This window comes from Homo sapiens, chromosome 11 (assembly GCF_000001405.40).
Source record: "Homo sapiens chromosome 11, GRCh38.p14 Primary Assembly".
NCBI lineage: Eukaryota > Metazoa > Chordata > Mammalia > Primates > Hominidae > Homo > Homo sapiens.
Window position 1 is genome coordinate 9,216,940 of NC_000011.10, and position 19,798 is coordinate 9,236,737.

Consider the following 19,798-nt stretch of genomic DNA (forward strand, 5'->3'; position numbering starts at 1 on the left):
GTGGGAGGATCACTTAAGCCCAGGAGTTTGAGGCTGCAGTGAGCTATGATCACACTACTGCACTATAGTCTGGGCAACAGAGCAAGATCCCATCTCAAAAAAATAAATACGAAAGAATCAGCAGGCATCAGCTGATGAACAGATGAATGAAATGTATAATAATACAATGGAACATTATTCAGCCATAAAAAAGAATGGTGTACTGTTACATGCTACAACACAGATGAATCTTGAAAACATGCCAAGTGGCTTAAGATCACATACTGTATCATTCCATTTATATAAAATGTCCTGGCCAGGCGCGATGGCTCATGCCTGTAATCCCAGCACTTTGAGAGGCTGAGGCGGGTGATCACCTGAGGTCAGGAGTTTGAGACCAGCCTGGCCAACATGGTGAAACCCCATCTCTACTAAAAATGCAAAAATTAGCCAGGCGTGGTGGGGCACACCTGTAGTTCCAGCTACTCGAGAAGCTGAGGCAGGAGAATAGCTAGAACCCAGGAGGCAGAGGGTGCAGTGAGCCGAGATCTCACCACTGCACTCCAGCCTGGGCAATAAGAGCAAAAATTCCGTCTCAAATTAATTAATTAATTAATTGCCCAGAAAAGGCCTACGTATGGAGACAGAAAGTAGATTAGTGTTTACCTGGGATGAGGGGATACAGAGTGACTGCTAATTAGTACAAAGTTTCTTTTTAAAGTGATTAAAATATTCTAAAATTAAATTATGGTAACGATTGCACAACTCTGCAAATACATTAAAAAACAGAAATTGTATACTGTAAGCAGGTAAACTAGGCTATGTAAAGTATATCTTCATAAAGTGATTTAAAAAATAAAAGGACAAACAACAAAAGAAATTTGGCATGCTAGTAAAATACAGTCTCCTACTGTCAAAGCATGTGTCATTTCCAACAAAGTATCTTTTCCCACACACAAAAATTATTATCACAGATAAAAGATATGCAGAGATAAAAGATGACATTGTATACATAAAACAAGAATAGACTGTTGTTTTAAAAGAATATTCAGAAAATAAAACAAGGCTGGGCAGTGGCTCATGCCTGTAATCTCAGCACCAAGGTGGGTAGAGATTGTTTGAGTCCAGGAGTTCAAGACCAACCTGGGCAACATGGCAAGACCCCATCTGTACAAAATAATAATTAAAAGATTAGCCAGGCATGGTGGTGCCCACCAGTAGTCTCAGCTACTCAGGAGGCTGAGGCAGGAGGACTGCATGAGCTCAGGAGGCAGAGGCTGCAGTGAGCTGAGATAGCACCACTGCACTCCAGGCTGGGTGACAGAGCAAGACCCCGTCTCAAAAAAATAAACAAAAAAAAAACAAGCTTGTGGAAATTAAAATGGTGTCAGAAAAATTTAAAACTCAACAGAAGAGTTAGCAAATAGATTTGAGGAAATATCCTCAGAAGTAGGACAAAATAAATAAAATTAGAGAAAAAATAGTAATAAAATTAGTCTGGGTACAGTGGCTCATGCTTAGGCTCAGCTCATGCTTAGGCGGGATGCAGTGGCTCCCAGCTCTTTGGGAGGCCGAGGGGAGTGGATCACTTAAGCCCAGGAGTTTGAGACCAGTCTGTGCAACATGGCGAAATCCTGTCTACTAAAAATACAAAAATTAGCTGGGTGTGGTGGAGTGTGCCTGTAGTAGGCTGAGGTGGGAAGATCGCTAGAGCCCGGGAGATGAAGGTTAGAGTGAGCTGTGATCGTGTCACTGCACTCCAGCTGGGTGACAGAGTGAAACTTTGTCTCAAAAATAAATGTATTGGGCCGGCGTGGTGGCTCACGCCTGTAATCCCAGCACTTCAGGAGGCTGAGACAGGTGGATCACCTGAGGTCAGGAGTGCAAGACCAAGCTAGCCAACATGGTGAAACCCCACCTCTACTAAAAAAATAAAAATTAGCCAGGCGTAGTGGCACATGCCTGTAATCCCAGCTACTTGGGAGGCTGAGGCAGGAGAATCGCTTGAACCCGGGAGGTGGAGGTTGCAGTAAGCCAAGATCGCGCCACTGCACTCCAGCCTGGGCAACAAGAATGAAACTCCATCTCAAAAAAATAAATAAACAAATAAATGAAATAAATTTATTTATTTATTTAAGAAATAATAAAATTAGAGTCCATCCAAGAGGTCTAAAACCCAAATAAAAGTATACCATAAAAAGCGAAGAGAAAAAATAAAGGGGAGGAAATTATCAACAAAATAATAAAGTTTCCCAGAAATGACAGGCATGAACTTCCAAACTGAAAGTGCTCTTCAAGGATCTAGCACAATGGATGAAAACAGACCCACACCAAGACACGTCATGATGTAATTTCAGAATGCCAGGGACAATGAGAAAATTCTAGATGTTTCCAGGAAGAAACAAATTTACCAAGGAAAGATATCTGAATAGCACTGGATTTCTCAATAGCAACACTGGAATCTAGCAGACAATGAGGCAATGTCCTCAAAATTCTGTGGGAAAATTATTTCCAGTTAGAATTATATACTCAGCCAAATAATAAGAGAGTAAAAGAAAGAAATTTCAAACATGTAATCTCAAAAAAAGAATGTATTTTCTATGAATCCTTTCTCAGGAAGCATATGCTCTGCCAAAACGAGAATTAACAAAAAAAAACGACTTACATATGGGATGGAGGAAACTGGAGCCATCACGAGAAAGTGACAGAGGATAACTCCAAGATAAGGTGAGGGGACATCCCAAGATTTTAGTGCAATAGGCCTGGCAGGCCAACACCTCAAATAATCCAGATTGATGGGGCTCAGGCAAGAATCCACAGCTTGCATCATATTTTCCAAGGGATCTGTGAGCCAAAAAATACTTTAAGCCACTGCTTTAAGGTGTCCATTACAGGTCTTGCACAAGGGACAAACCACAACAGACTTCTATAACAAAAAGAAATTTTTCAGATGTTGCAAATCTCAGAGACAAAGAATGTGGAGTAATGCAGTAGATTAACACATTTTTTCTGATTGGATATCATCATTTAGAAAGAAAGGAAAGGGGCTCAGTTAAAGCACTCTAGAAGCCCAGGGAATTTGATTCAAATGAAGCTTAATACCTTACTCCTCAAAACATTCTGAAGAGAGATTGGTTTTGTTTTGTTTTTTCAATTTGTGATTTATGTCCCACCTATGTCAAAAAACAAGGTGGTATATAAGAAAAATCATACTAAAAAATTAAAGCAGGACAAAGAACACTAAAAGCAAAAAAAATAGATGTGCTTAAACGCCTGTGGCATAACTTTCTTATAAATTGCAAAAAATGATAGTTTGCTTGCAATGTATGATATTTAAAAATAATTCGGGCCAGGCACAGTGGCTCATGCCTGTAATCCCAACACTTTGGGAGGCCGACGCGGGCAGATCACCTGAGGTCAGGAGTTCAAGACCAGTCTGACCAACATGGAGAAACCCTGTCTCTACTAAAAATACAAAATTAGCCGGGCGTGGTGGCACATGCCCGTAATCCCAGCTACTTGGGAAGCTGAGGCAGGAGAATCACTTGAACCCAGGAGGTGGAAGTTGCAGTGAGCCAAGATCATGCCATTGCACTCCAGTATAGGCAACAAGAGCGAAACTCTGTCTCAAAAATAATAATAATAATAATAATAATAATTCAACATGGAAAAAAATATGAATGAAAATACCGGCCGGGCACAGGTGGCTCACACCTATAATCCCAGCACTTTGGGAGGCTGAGGGGGTTAGATTACCTGAGGTCAGGAGTTCCAGACCAGCCTGGCTAACATGGCAAAACCCAGTCTCTTCTAAAAATAAAAAAATTAGCCAGGCATGGTGGTGGGTACCTGTAATCCCAGCTACTGGGGAGGCTGAGGTACGAGAATTGCTTGAACCTGGGAGGCAGAGGTTGCAGTAAGCTGAGATCGCACCACTGCACTCCAGCTTGGGCGACAAAGCGAGACTCTGTCTCAAAAAAAAAAAGTGTGTGTGTGTACACACACACACATAAATTAGCCAGGCATAGTGGCGGGTGCCTGTAGACTCAGCTACTTGGGAGGCTGAGGTGGGAGGACTGCTTGAGCCCAGGAGGCAGAGGTTGCCGTGAGCCGAGATGGCGCCATTGAGCTCCAACCTGGATGAGAGAGCAAGACACTGTCTAAAAAAAGAATACAAACCCAAAAAACAAAAAACTTTGGTATCAGAATCAGAGATTAAAACATTCAATCGGCTGGACACGGTGGCTCACGCCTGTAATCCTAGCACTTTGGGAGGCCAAGGCAGGTGGATCACCTGAAGTCAGGAGTTCAAGACCAGCCTGGCCAACATGGTGAAACCCTGTCTCTACTAAAAATACAAAAATTAGCCGGGCATGGTGGCGAGTGCCTGTAGTCTCAGCTACTCAGGAGGCTGAGGCAGAAGAATCTCTTGAACCTGGGAGGCAGAGGTTGTAGTGAGCCGAGATAGCGCCACCTCACTCCAGCCTGGATGACAGAGCAAGACTCCATCTCAAACAAACAAACAAACAACAGCAACAAAAAAAACACTGAATAGGTCCCAACCCATTCAGTGCTGGCATTACAGGCATGAGCAACTGCGCCTGGCCTGGCTAATTTTTGTATTTTTAGTAGAGATGGGGTTTCACCATGTTAGCCAGGCTGGTCTTGAACTCCTGACCTCAGGCAATCGGTCTGCCTCGGCCTCCCAAACTGCTGGGATTACAGGCGTGAGCCACCGCGCCCAGCCAACCCCATGTATATTTCTAGTTATTACAAGGAAATCAGAAGTTATAATTGCCAATAATGTCTTCAACTAATTGAGAATTTTGTTGTTGTTGTTGTTGTTTTCTTTTTTTTAAGATGGAGTCTTGCTCTGTCACCCAGGCCGGAGTACAGTGGTGCGATCTTGGCTCACTGCAACCTCTGCCTCCCAGGTTCAAGTAATTCTCCTGACTCAGCCTCCCAAATAGCTGGAACTACAGGTGCATGCCACCACGCCCGGCTAATTTTTTATATTTTTAGTAGAGATGAGGTTTCACAGTGTTGGCCAGGATGGTCTTGATCTCCTGACCTCATGATCCGCCCACCTTGGCCTCCCAAAGTGCTGGGATTACAGGCGTGAGCCACTGCGCTTGGCAAGAATTTTTAATATCCAATTATAATTTTACAAATGCAGGGGTCTTTTAAGAGGACATGAGCTTTTTCTAACATTTTATCATAAAAAGTACAATGAACTGCCATGTATCTATCACCTAGCTTTAGCAATTATCAATGCATGGCTAATCTTGCTTTACTTGTATATCCTCATGCCAGATTATTTTAAAGCAAATCCAAACATATCATTTTATTTATAATATTTCAGCATGTCTCTCTAAAAGACAGTATCTTTTTTAACATAACCTCAATACTATTATTATACCTAGAAAAATTTGACCAAAAAAATCCTAATGCCAAAAATCTAGTCAGTGTTCAAATTTCTTTAGTTTATTCATAAATGTTTGAAACCTTTTAGATCACTAAGTAGACTTAAAATACTGTATAATGGCCTGTAATAGTAAAAGAAAAATTTAATGTTTCCAGGAACTTTTTTATATGAAGTTGCTTAAGAGCATTAGAAGAAAAAAAGGCAATTTTTCCCTATAAATACACCACAGAAAAATTAGAGGAACTTCAGGTCTGACATAAGATCAGAGAATAGGGATAAATAGAGCCAGACATAAGATCAGAGAATGCAGATGAATAGAACCAGATACGATTTTCAAAATATTTAACAATCTGGGCAGTGTGAGCACCAACCAATCAGAACAAACACTAGCCATACACATATGGCATATAGGCTAGATATCAACCCTGGATACAGCCTTGACTGAGGAAAAGCAAAGAGGCCTCAAGAACGTGCTTTCCATGCTGAAATTCAACGCTGCCTGCAGTGGAGCAATAAGCTGCAACTACATCAGTTAGAAGCAAAGTTGCCACAAGCTCTTGCTATAGCCTACCTTCTACCAGACATAGCTATTAACTGCTAAATCACTATAGCTGTAACTGATCATCCCTGCATCTATCATTTGAACTAGTCAAAGAAAGAATCCTTTTTGAAGCAATTAGCATGGTAAAGTAGAAAGAGTTCTTGATTGTAGAATGATCTAGAATACAAGCTGCTTGTCTCTGAAAGTTAAAACTGTAATAGCCGGCTGGGCGCGGTGGCTCATGCCTGTAATCCCAGCACTTTGGGAGCTGAGACAAGAAGATCACTTGAGCTGAGGAGTTCAAGACCAGCCGAAGCAACATAGCAAGACATCATCTTTACCAAAAGAAAAAAAAAATTAAGGCTGGGTGCGGGGTCTCACGCCTGTAATCCCAGCACTTTGGGAGGCTGAGGTGGGCAGAATAGGCCAAGGCAGGCGGAGGTCAGGAGTTTAAGACCAGCCTGGCCAACATGGTGAAAACCCCATCTCTACTAAAAATACAAAAATTAGCCAGGCATGATGGCAGGTACCTGTAATCGCAGCTACTTGGGAGGCTGAGGCAAGAGAAACACTTGAACCTGGGAAGTGGAGGTTGCAGTGAGCCAAGATCTCACCATTGCACTCCAGCCTGGGCAACAGAGCGAGACTCCATCTCAAAAAAATTAATTAATTAAAAAAATTAAATTAGCAGGGTGTGATGGCACCACACCTGAGGTCCCAGCTACTTGGGAGGCTGAGGTGGGAGGATTGCTCGAGCCAGGGAGACTGAGGCTACGGTGAGCTATGATCACACCACTGCACTCCAGTCTGGGCAACAGAGCAAGCAAGAGAGAAAAAAAGCGTAACATCTGACAGTGGTACCTGGGAATGTTAATATCCTTCAACCTATTGCCTGTAGGTTACAGCTTTTCCAATAAATTATTTAGCTTGCTAAAGAATATAAAAGATAGTCCTCTGTGATTGTTATTTAGAATCCTTTCATAAACAGAGGGCATGCCCTGACCATTTAAAAATAAACCTAGAACGGTCAGGTGTGGTGGCTCATGCCTGTAATCCCAGCACTTTGGGAGGCCGCAGTGGGCGGATCACCTGAGGTCAGGAGTTCAAGACCAGCCTGGCCAACATGGCAAAACCCTGTCTCTACTAAAAAAATACAAAAATTAGCCAGGTGTGGTGGCGCATGCCTGTAATCCCAACTACTAGGGAGGCTGAGGCAGGAGAATCGCTTGAACCTGGGAGGCAGAGGTTGCAGTGAGCCGAGATCACGCCATTCACTCCAGCCTGGGCGACAGAGCAAGACTCCATCTCAAAAAATAAAGTAAAATAAAACATAAGCCTAAAACAACATGCCTAAAGGAAGGGAAGAAGGAGAGAACTCTTGAAGGGAAGTGAGAAAGCTTGGGGGTCTAGCATGATTCAACATATCTCAAGCCTTACGCAAATCACTTTATCTTCCTGGGCTCCAGTTTCTCCATCTGCATATAAGGCACCTGCCAACATTCCTAGTCTCACCTCCCAACACCTGCTTTCTCCCTCTAATACATTGATTCACTTGAGTTCCCCAAACAGGGCATGCTTTTTCGTGCTTTCATTCTTTGTTAGATGTTATTCTCTGCTTAGAATAACCTTTATACCCTTCTTCACCTGATTAGCCAATCTACTTTTATTCAAGTGAGTGCTATGAAAATCCATGGTGCCCAGTGCGGTGGCTCACACCTATAATCCCAGCACTTTGGGAGGCTGAGGCAGGCAGATCACGAGGTCAGGAGTTCGAGACCAGCCTGACTGACATGGTGAAAACCCGTCTTTACTAAAAATACAAAAACAGCCGGGCGTGGTGGCGCGCGCCTGTAATCCCAGCCACTCAGGAGGCTGAGGCAAGAGAATCGCTTGAACCTGGGAGGCAGAGGTTGCAGTGAGCCAAGATCGCGCCACTGCACTCCAGCCTGGGCAACAGAGCAAGACTCCATCCAAAAAAAAAAAAAAAAAAAATCCACAGTATCCCAACGTTTTCATTTTCCCATCCCCAAGTTCTTCTGGAAATTTTCTGTGAGTGCTAGGGTCAGAGCCATTTACTGGTTATAAAACAAATCTGCTCCTTTGAATGTAGTTCATATGACATGGTTTTCAGTTCCCTCACAATCCTAGTCCCTAGAACCGACGTCTAACTCTATGTGTAATCTAACTACTTAATAACACAATTTAAAACAGGACTATCCACTCCCTCTTTTTTGACAATGTATCTCTAGAATTGCAACTAAAAATCACAATTTTTGGCAACTAAATCACGCTTTTGCCATAAATCAAACTCGCAGCCAACTAAAAGTGTTACATTTTTTAAAAAGTGTTGATATTAGCTCACATCTTCTTCCTATAACCTCTACTTCTGCATCATTTATTTCATCATATAGCTTAAATTTCTCTCTTATTCCCAACTATATCCTAGTCATTCCTGTGAAACATTCTTGAATCCAAAAATGGTAGCTCACAGTATTCCCCGTTCTATCCATGTACTCACCTGAATGAACACATGGTTAGTGTAACCTAACATATTCTTAGTGGGCAGATGTTGGCTCTTAATAATAATAGTTTTGGGGCGGGCACGGTGGCTCACGCCTGTAATCCCAATGCTTGGGAGGCTGAAGCCAGCCGATCACTTGTGGTCAGGATTTCGAGAACAGCCTAGCCAACGTGGTAAAACCCTGTCTCTACTAAAAATACAAAAAAAATCAGCCGGGCATGGTAGCACATACCTATAATCTGGCTACTCGGGTGGCTGAGGCAGGGGAATCACTTGAACCTGGGAGGTGGAAGTTACAGTGAACCAAGATCACGCCACTCTACTCCAGCCTGGGCAACAGAGCAAGACTCTGTCTCAAAAAATATATATAAGTAATAATAATAACAATAATAGTTTTGGCCAGGTGCCGTGGTTCATGCCTGTAATCCCAGCACTTTGGGAGGCCAAGTTGAGTGGATTGCTTGAGCCCAGGAGGTCAAGACCAGCCTGGACAACATAGCAAGACCCTATCTCTACAACAAATAAATTAGCTGAGTATGTTGGCATGTGCCTAGGCCCCAGCTACCTGGAAGGCTGAGGTGGGAGGACTGATTGAGCCAGGGAGGTCAAGGCTGCAATGAGCTGTGCTCATGCCACTGCACTCCAGCCTGGGCAACAGAGTGAGACCCTGTCTCAAAAATCATCATCATCATCATTATCATCATCATCATCACCATTATCATCAATCAGGTCTTTTTCTAAACCCTCAGATTATATCATTAATAAGCTATTCTAGATTTTGACTGGAACATGTCATGCTGTTACCTTCTTCCCAGTTTTGAGATTATGTCTTCTTGTGGTAATTCTATGATTCCTCAAAGGTTATTGACATCTACTGAATGATCTCATCCCAAAATTATCTAGAACCCTACGGTATAATTTGTCTGGGTCAGGAGACTCTCATTCAGAGCAATTAAATGATCCTGTATAAATGAGTAATGATCTCAATTTCAGTCTCCTCTTAATCGATTTGTTCTATCCTTTCCAATCTATATATAATTTACCTTGACAATGGGAAAAAAAAGTTTCTGGGGCTATTTCAATCTTCAAGGTTTTTTGTTTTTGTTTTTGTTTTTCAAATGTGGTTATTTGGGATTTCACATTTAGAGTATCACCCAACATAAAATACTCTTCTTGAAGAATTATTTAACACAATAAAGTTTTCCTTTTTTTTAAATTCATAAAACTGTAAGAGGAAGCAGAGATGCTAATTATAACAGAGCTCTTCTTACCACAGTGGCAAAAACCAAACTGACCGATCTAAAGTAAGCTAAACAAGAGTTGTGAAAATTAACATACTTCCTTAAGGTGAAAATTTCCCCATAATTCATCACCATGTCCTACAAATATTACTGAATGTGCAAGACTCAAAACAATTCACCCAAAACCTCACATCATACTCACACCCTGTCAATAAATCCAAGCTATGAAAATAAGCACAAGGACGAGAGTGGTGACTCACACCTGTAATCCCAGCACTTTGGGAGGCCAAGGCGGGCAGATCACCTGAGGTCAGGAGTTCGAGACCAGGGTGACCAACATGGAGAAACCCTGTCTCTACTAAAAATACAAAATTAGCCGGGCATGGTAGCACATGCCTGTAATCCCAGATACTCCAGAGGCTGAAGCAGGAGAATCGCTTGAACCCGGGAGGCAGAGGTTACAGTAAGGTGAGATCACGCCATTGTACTCCAGCCTGGGCAACAAGAGTGAAACTCCATCTCAAAATAAATAAATAAATAAATAAATAAATAAATAAATAAATAAGCAAGCAAGCACAGAGTGATATTTTCTCCACTCAATCACCATGGGACTTATAAAGACCTTATCTACCCCACATTGAGCCGTTTTGCTACATTATTACATTACGATCACTCAAACAACTAATCCATCACTTTTCTATTGAGTTCCAACTATCTATACAACTCCATGTTAAGTGCTATGGAAACATACAAATTTATAATTAAAAACCAGTAACTCCTGGAACGCATGAGCACATTTTAGTAAATGTGTACCTCCTTCTCTAGGCAAAGGAGTCCCCTCAAATCTGAAAGGGCATCTCATCCAGATGAAGCTGGGAAGGTAGTGCAGTATATTCTGTGTTACATACACTATAGTGGAAGGCACAGGACTTTAAAGACAGGAAAATTTAGAACTCAAATATTAGTTCCATGTTTTGTTTAATTTCTTCTAGGTAACTTGTCCAAGGTCTCTGTGAAAAATGCATATTTGGGCCAGGTGCAGTGGCTCATGCCTGTAATCTAACACTATGGGAGGCCAAGATGGGAGGATCACCTGACGCCAGTTCAAGACCAGCCTGGGCAACATAGCAAGATACCATCTCTACAAAAATAAAAAATTTAAATTAAAAAAAAAATGAGGCCAGGCACTGTGGCTCACGCTTGTAAATCCCAGCACTTTGGGAGGCCGTGGGGGCGGGTGGCGAATCACGAGGTCAGGGGTTCGAGACCAACCTGGCCAACATGGTGAAACCCTGTCTCTACTAAAAATACAAAAAATTAGCCGGGCATGGTGGTGCATGCCTGTAATCCCAGCTACTTGGGAGCCTGAAGCAGGAGAATCATTTGAACCCAGGAGGCGGAGGTTGCAGTGAGGGGAGATTATACCATTGCACTCCAGCCTGGGCGATAGCAAGACTCCATCTCAAAAAAAAAAAAAAAAAAAAAACTTACATTTGGTCTTAGTCCCTGGTTACTGGCATGCAGCTCCTAAAACCTTTGGAATCTCCCAGATGAGCACAGCGTTTGTATGCTAATGACATGACTGGTGACCAGGGCCACTAATTTAGTGGCTTAATACCTACTAAATAGCTTAAGCTAATAGCTTAAGGATGGTGGCTGGTCACCAGAAAGACCAAGGATGATTACAGGATTGAAACTTTCAGCTCCCCACCACCACCTGCAGAGAGGAGAGAGACGCTGAAGTGAGTTAATCACCAGTGAGCAATTATTTCAAAATCGTGCCAACACAGTAATGAAAACTCCACTTTGAAAACCCATAAGGCCAGGTGCGGTGGCTCATGCTTGCAATCCTGGCACTTTGGGAGGCCAACGCAGGTAGATCACCTGAGGTCAGGAGTTCGAGACCAGCCTGAACAACATAGTGAAACCCCATTTCTATTAAAAATACAAAAATTAGCCGGGTGTGGTGGCATGCGGCAGAAGAATCACTTGAACCCGGGAGGCAGAGGTTGCAGTGAGCCGAGATCGCACCACTGCACTCCAGCCTGGGCAGCAGAGTGAGACACCGTCTCAAAAAAAAAAAAAACATAAACAACAGGGTTCAGGGACCTTCTGGGTTGATGAACACACTTAAGTATTGCAGAATGGTGCACTCAGCGTGAGCACGAAGGCTCCACACACACATCTTGCCGCAAACTTGCCCCATCCATCTCTTCCACTTGGCTGTTCCTGAGTTATATCCTTTATAATAAATGGGTAATAGTAAGTAAAGTACTTTCCAGAGTTCTATGAGCCATTCTGGCAAATTATGCAAACTTAGGAAGGGGTCATGGGAACCCCTGACTTATAGCAGGTTGGTCAAAGTACAGACGGGCGGCAATCTGGGACTTTACTGGCATCTGAAGTGGGGACAGTCTTGTGAGACTAAGCACTTAACCTGTGGAGTGTGCACTAAGCCTAGGCAGTTAGTGTCAGAATTGAACTGAATTGGAAAAAAATAATAATAACAATTGAATTGAATTGCAGGACACCCAGCTGGTAACCAGAGAGTTACAGAATTGGTTAGCATAGTGTTAGATTACAGGCATGAGCCACTGCGCCTGGCCCAAATATGCATTTATCACAGAGACCTTGGCCAAGTTACAAATGTGGGGAAAAAACCACACATTTGGTGTCAGAGGTGTAATGCATGGTATTGAGGCTCAAAAAATGATACCCCTAAGTAAGACACCTTGACATGCTGAGTATTATGAACTAAAGGAGACCGGAAGACCTCAGAAATAGCCTCAGAAGCAAAGTCTCTCCTTGCCCTCCTGTCTCACTCCTCTTACTCCCCCAAAGCAAGTCATAGAAACCAGAATCCCCCTTTCCCCAAGGCGGGTCACAGATAATAGAAAAGCAAGCCATAATACCTAAAAAGTATTACCTCCTACTCAAACATATACCTCTCCCCCAAAGTAAGCCATAATACCTAAAAATGTCACTCTCTCCCCTTTTCCTTGAAGACCCTCAGCTCCAGCGGGGTCCTGCCCTATACCCAGGAAGAAGGAATGCTGCACAGAGTCCAAGAAGAATCTGAACAGACAGGCCTTGCTGGGTCCCCCTGCCCCACCCAGTCTATTACCATTAGATAACACCCTTTGTCTACTAACATTTCTACAGGCCTCTCCCTTTCTTCATTCTTCATTGAGCCTAAGCATAAAAACAGTTTTCCCTAGGTCTTTGGGTCTTCATTTCTGAAAGCTCCCATTTCTTTTTTTTTTTTTTTTTTTTTTTTTGAGACAGTCTTGCTCTGTCACCCAGGCTAGAGTGCAGTGGTGTGATCTCAGCTCCTTGCAAGCTCCACCTCCCGGGTTCACGCCATTCTCCTGCCTCAGCCTCCCGAGTAGCTGGGTGGGACTACAGGCGCCTGCCACCACGTCCAGCTAATTTTTTTGTATTTTTAGTAGAGACGGGGTTTCACCGTGTTAGCCAGGATGGTCTCGATCTCCTGACCTCGTGATCCACCCGTGTCAGCCTCCCAAAGTGCTGGGATTACAGGCATGAGCCACCGCGCCCGGCCCCATTTCATGTAAAACTAATGCTTTTTTTTTTTTTTTTTTTTTTTTTTTTTGAGACAAGTCTCACTTTTTCACCCAGGCCAAAGTGCAGTGGTGCAAACAGAGCTCACTACAATCTCAACCTTCTGAGCTCAAGCGATCCACCCACCTTAGCCTCCCAAGTAGCTGGGACTATAGGTATGCTCCACCACGCCAGGCTAATTTTTAAAAATTTTTTGCAGACAGGTTCTCACCGTTTTTCCCAGGCTGGTCTCAAACTCCTGGGCTTAAGCAATCCTCCCAGCACAGCCTCCCAAAGAGCTGGGATTACAAGTGTGAGCCACACCCAGCCTCTTATGCTTTCTTCTTGTTAATTTGTCTTTTGTTGCAGAAGTGTCAGCCATTGAACCTTAAGATGGGTGAGGAAAGGTATCACATCTTTCTGCCCTTACTGTAGAAACACTAAGGGCATCTTTTCCATAAATCTCAATTTCTTCATCTATAACATGAGGAGAACAATACCTAAGCCAGGCACAGTGGCTCACATCTGTAATCCCAGAATTTTGGGAGGCCAAGGCGGGTAGATCACCTGAGCCTAGGAGTTCAAGACTAGCCCAGACAACATAGGGAGACCGGTCTCTACAAAGAAATAGAAAAATTAGGCATGGTGGCACACATTTGTAGTCCCAGCTGCTAGGGAGGCTGAGATGGGAAGATCACTTAAGCCTGGAGGTCTAGACTGCAGTGAGCAGTTAGCGTGCACTCTAGCCTGGGTGACAGAGCAAGACCCTCTGTCAAAAACAAAACAAACAAACAAAAAAAACCCAAAAAACTACCTACCTCATCAGCCTATTGAGAGGAATGAATGAGTTAACATATGTAAAGCATATGGGACACATTTGTATTGAGCATAAGAGGTACTCAACAAATATTAGCTCCTTTCTTTCCAAAAGGTCTGTCATACATGCAAGAGTTATCTCAAAATCTTTAGCCATGAAAACAGGACACATAAATGTGCTAGAAGTTACCAAATGTTTCCTAACATGCAAACCTCTACTGCACTAAAGTGGCAACACATATCTGTTTCACAGAATGTATACCACGGCAGAGCCCACAGCAGCAAACGTGGCTATACTAAGAACACTGACAAGTCCGCAAATTCAGATTTCAAACCACAACTTATAAGGGACCACCCAGCAGCCTCTTCTTCCCCATAGCACATAAGCAGATTTAAGACTCTGGGAGCCAGGCTGGGCGCGGTGGCTCACGCCTGTAATCCCAGCACTTTGGGAGGCAGAGGCAGGCAGATCACCTGAGGTCGGGAGTTGGAGACCAGCCTGACCAACATAGAGAAACTCCATCTCTACTAAAAATACAAAAGTTGCAGGGAGTGGTGGCGCATGCCTGTAATCCTAGCTACTCAGGAGACTGAGGCAAGAGAATCACTTGAACCCAGGAGGCAGAGGTTGCAGTGAGCCGAGATCGCGCCATTGCATTCCAGCCTGGGCAACAAGAGCGAAACTCCGTCTCAAAAAAAAAAAAAAAAAGACTCTGGGAGCTTCCTGTTAGTTTACCCTCAGTAACATAAGAGAAAGTTTCCTTTACTTTTAAGAACTTTTATAGTAATAAATTCTCTCTCTTTTTTTTTAACAGACTTTCCTAACCACTAAAATTTTACCAACTGGTACTATATCAAAGCACAAAGACTAGCATTTGTTTTATCAAATCTGCATTAAAAGCACTGTATTGGTCATATCAAAGCCTTTTTGTACTTCAGGCCCAGCTGTGACAGCAATGGTAATGTTTCTCTTTCACTTGCAGAATGCTGAAAAACGGCCAAGAAAAAAAAATGGGGAAGCTTTTTTTCAGGCAGTACAGAGTAGTGTTAACAGCAGACTGTTTAAGAAAATTAATTAGCCCTAGGACTGTAGATCTAAATATGAAAGGTAAAAAAATAAAGCCTTTAGAAGAAAACACAGAACATCTTCATGATCCTGCAATAACAAAGATATAAAATGCACTAAACATTAAGAGAGAAAAACGTATAAATTGTACATTACAATTTAAAACTTTTGTTCCTTGAAAGTCGCCATTAAAAGAATGAAAACGCACAGATTACAAGAATATATTTGCACTATATATATATGAAATGAACAAAAAAGACATATCTAGAACATATAAAGAACTGCATTAAATCAATAAAGAAAAAAAGATCACTCAAAGAAAAACAGCAAAAGCCCTGAATAGATACTTCAAAAAAGACATATAAATGCCTAATAAACTTTTGAGAGGTGCTCAACTTCATTAGTCATCCAGAAAATTCAAATTTAAATAATACAATACTATTATATAACCACCAGAATAGCTAAAATGAAAAGAAAATGCCAAGAGTTGGTAAGGATAGGGAGTAACCTACACTGTCGTGCACTGCAAGTGGGAATGTAAACTGGTACAATCACTATGGAAAACTGTCTGGCAGCACCTACTAAAGCTGAACATGCGTATACCTATGACCCAGCAATTCCACTCCTGAGCATATACCCAACAGACCAAAAGCCATGTTCACGAAAAGGCACATACAGGAATGTTCATAACATGTCACTATTGTAATACTCAAAAACTACAAACTACCCATGAGCCTATCAACTGCAGAATTAACAGATAAGGTGTGGTAAAGTCACACAATGGCAAACTCTACAGCAGTGAGAACGACCAACCTAAAACTATACACAATATGAATGAACCTCTCAAATATATTGTACAAAAGAATCCAAACACAAGAGTTCACCATATATAATTACATTTATATAAAGTACAAAGACATGAAAAACTATGCTGTTAGAAGTCAAAATACTGGTTACCTGTGGTGAGTGGGAAGGCAAATAGTGACTGAAGTAGACTACTTCTTGCTCACATCCTAAGAAATTCAAGACAGCCAGTCGCAGGGGCTCACGCCTATAATCCCAACACTTTGGGAAGCCGAGGCAGGCGGATCACGAGGTCAGGAGTTCGAGACCAGCCTGGCCAGCATCGTGAAACCTCGCCTCTACTAAAAATACAAAAATTAACTGGACATGGTGGTGGGTGCCTGTAATCCCAGCTACTCAGGAGGCTGAGGCAGGAGAATTGTTTGAACCCAGGAGGCAGAGGTTGGAGTGAGCTGAGATCGCGCCATTGCACTCTAGCCTGGGCGACAGAGCGAGACTCTGTCTCAAAAAAAAAAAAAAAAAAAGAAATTCAAGACCCACCCTTTAGACCCTCTGGAGTGGGTTGAATGGTGGCCCCAAAAAAGGTATGTCCACATCCTAATCTCCAGAAGCTATGAATGTTATCTTACTTGGAAAAAGGATCTTACAGATGTAGTCAAAAATATTGAGATGAGATCATCCTGGAGTAGTTGAGTGTACCCAAAATACCATGATAGGTATCCCTAAAATAATAGACACAGAGGAAAAGATACACATGAAGGTGAAGGCAATGAGAAGACAGAAGCAGCGATTAGGGTGGTGTAGTCAGAAACCAAAGCATAATGCCAACAGTCACCAGAAGCTCAAGGAATTATTCTCCCCAAGAGCCTCTGAGGGGGTGTGCCCTGCTGACACCCTGATTTTGGATTTCTGTCCTCCAAAACTGTGAGAAAATAAATTATTGTTGTTTTAAGCCACCCAGTTTGTGGTAATTTGTTGCCACAGCCACAGTAAACTAATATAGGCTGGGTGCAGTGGCTCAGGCCTGTAATCCCAGCACTTTGGGAGGCCGAGGTGGGTGGATCACTTGAGGTCAGGAGTTCGAGACCAGCCTGGCCAACATGGTGAAACCCCGTCTCTACTAAAAATACAAAAATTAGCCGGGCATGGTAGCACATGCCTGTAGTCCCAGCTACTCGGGAGGCTGAGGCAGGAGAATGGCTTGAATCCAGGAGGCGGAGGCTGCACTGAGCCATGATCGTGCCACTGCACCCCCAGCCTGGGCAACAGAGCAAAACTCCGTCTCAAAAAAAAAAAAAAAGGCAACTAATATACCCTCCAAACCACATTCCTTTACTCACCCCAATTCTGTAGCAAACTCACCAGCTTTCCTAAGAAAGAGAGATTCAAAAGTGCCCAAACCTCAATCTTTCCCACCGATCCCCCCCCCAAAAAAATGAGCAAAAAGAGAAATTATAACCAGTATACAGACAATTCACAATACCAATATAAAGAATGAGTAATTTTTTTTCAATCTACTTGAGTAGTAGTCAACGAAATACAGATTAAAACACGACGACAGCAAAAAATGAAAAACAAGTATTAATGAGGATATGGAGAAAGTGGAAACCTTGTTGGGAACAGGCCCCCCAAAATCTGGCCATAAACTGGCCCCAAAACTGGCCATAAACAAAATCTCTGCAGCACTGTGACATGTTCGCGATGGCCCTGACGCCCACGCTAAAGGTTACGGGTTTACCAGAATGAGGGCAAGGAACACCTGGCCCACCCAGGGCAGAAAACCGCTTAAAGGCATTCTTAAACCACAAACAATAGCATGAGCGATCTGTGCCTTAAGGACGTGCTCCTGCTGTAGATAACTAGCCGAACCCATCCCTTTATTTCGGCCCATCCCTTTATTTCCCATAAGGAATACTGCTAGTTAATCTATAACCTACAGAAACAATGCTTATCACTGGCTTGCTGTTAATAAAGGCGCGGGTAAATCTCTGTTCAAGGCTCTCAGCTCTGAAAGCTGTGAGACTCCCGATTTCCCACTCCATACCTCTATATTTCTGTGTGTGTGTCTTTTACTCCTCTAGCGCCGCTGGGTTAGGGTCTCCCTGACCCAGCTGGCATCCGCAAACCTGAAACATTGCTAGTGAGAATGTAAAATGATGCACTGCTGTGAAGACATTTTGGCAGTTTCTTAAAGTTACTATAAAGTTCAGAGTTACTATATGACCCATCAATTCCATTCTTGGATATATACATAAACAGGTGTTCAGACAGAAACTTGTACATGAATGTTCATAGCAGCACTATTCACAACAGGCAAAAAGTGGAAACAACCCCAGTGTCCATCAACAGATGAAGGAACAAAATATGGTACGTATTATTCATACCATATAAATATCCCAATAATACAATATTATTCAGCCATAACAAGGAATAAGGTGCTGACACATGCTACAACATGGATGAACCTTAAAAACATCCTGCTAGGCTGGGCGGGGTGGCTCACGCCTGTAATCCCAGCACTTTGGGAGGCCAAGATGGGCAGATCACTGGAGGTCAGAAGTTCGGGACCAGCTGGCCAATGTGGTAAAACCCTGTCTCTACTAAAAATACAAAAATTAGCTGGGCACGATGGCGGGCACCTGTAATCCCAGCTACTCAGGAGGCTAAGATAGGAGAATTGTTTGAACCCAGGAGATGGAGGTTGCAGTGAGCTGAGATCGCGCCACTGCACTCCAGCCTGGGCGACAGAGCAAGACTCTGTCTCAAAAAAAAAAAAAAGAAAAAAAATCACGCTACCTGAAAGGAGCCAGACACAAAAGCCAAACACAAAAGGCCACATGTTGCATGATTCCACTTACATGAAACATCCAGAATAGGTAAATCCAGAGAGAGAAAGCAGACTACTAGTTGCCACAGGCTTGGGAGACAAGGAAATGAGAAGTAACTGTTTAATGAGTGCAGCATTTTCTTTTGAGGAGATGAAAATGTTCTGAAACTACATGATGCTGATGGCTACACAAAACCATAAATATACTAAACACCACTGAATTACACATTTTTAAACGGGCTAGGTGCAGTGGCTCATACCTGTAATCTCAGCACTTTGGGAGGACAAGACAAGAGGACTGCTTGAGACCAGGAGGTCAAGACCAGCCTAAGCAACAAGGTGAGAATCCATCTCTACAAAAAATTTAAAAATTAGCCCAGTAGTCCCAGCTACTCAGGAGGCTGAGGCAAGAGGATCACATGAGCCCAGGAGGTCGAGGCTGCAGTGAGCCATGTTTGCACCACTGCACTCCAGCCTGGGCAACAGAGGGAGACCCTGTCTCAAAAAAAAAAAAAAAACAAATAAAGTTCGCTGGGCGCAGTGGCTCGTGCCTATAATCCCAGCACTTTGGGAGGCCGAGGCAGGCGTATCACCTGAGGTCAGGAGTTCGAGATCAGCCTGGCCAATATGGCGAAACCCTGTCTCTACTAAAAATGCAACAATTAACTGGGCATGGTGACGGGCACCTGTAATCCCAGCTACTCAGGAAGCTGAGGCAGGAGAATTGCTCAAACCCAGGAGGCAGAGGTTGTGGTGAGCCAAAATTGCACCACTGCACTCCAGCCTGGGCGACAAGAGCAAAACACCACCTCAAAAAAAGAAAGAAAAAAAAAAGAAATATTTAGCATTTTTAAATAGTAAATTAAAAATGGAAGACACAAGCTAGGCATTGGGCACAACCCTGTAATCTCAGCTACTCGGGAGGCTAAGGCAAGAAGACTGCTTGAGCCCAGGAGTTTGAGACCAGCCTGGGCAACAAAGCAAGACCTCTGCCTCGAAAGAAAGAAAAAGAAAAAG

At 43.0% G+C, this 19,798-nt stretch overlaps 1 protein-coding gene across 5 annotated transcripts in view, besides 2 other annotated features; it reads right to left on the reverse strand.

The window, feature by feature from the left end:
- Positions 1-19,798, reverse strand: part of DENND5A (DENN domain containing 5A) — a 126,526-nt gene that overhangs the window by 78,115 nt on the left and 28,613 nt on the right. The gene's annotated exons all lie outside the window — the stretch shown is intronic.
- Positions 12,293-12,893: an enhancer, noted in NCBI's record as "H3K27ac hESC enhancer chr11:9250779-9251379 (GRCh37/hg19 assembly coordinates)". NCBI's record gives its function as "activates a minimal SCP1, AML or CMV promoter by ChIP-STARR-seq in naive H9 embryonic stem cells {active_cell/tissue: H9 hESC(naive)}" and the evidence as "EXISTENCE:reporter gene assay evidence [ECO:0000049][PMID:30033119]".
- Positions 13,496-14,096: an enhancer, noted in NCBI's record as "NANOG-H3K27ac hESC enhancer chr11:9251982-9252582 (GRCh37/hg19 assembly coordinates)". NCBI's record gives its function as "activates a minimal SCP1, AML or CMV promoter by ChIP-STARR-seq in naive and primed H9 embryonic stem cells {active_cell/tissue: H9 hESC(naive and primed)}" and the evidence as "EXISTENCE:reporter gene assay evidence [ECO:0000049][PMID:30033119]".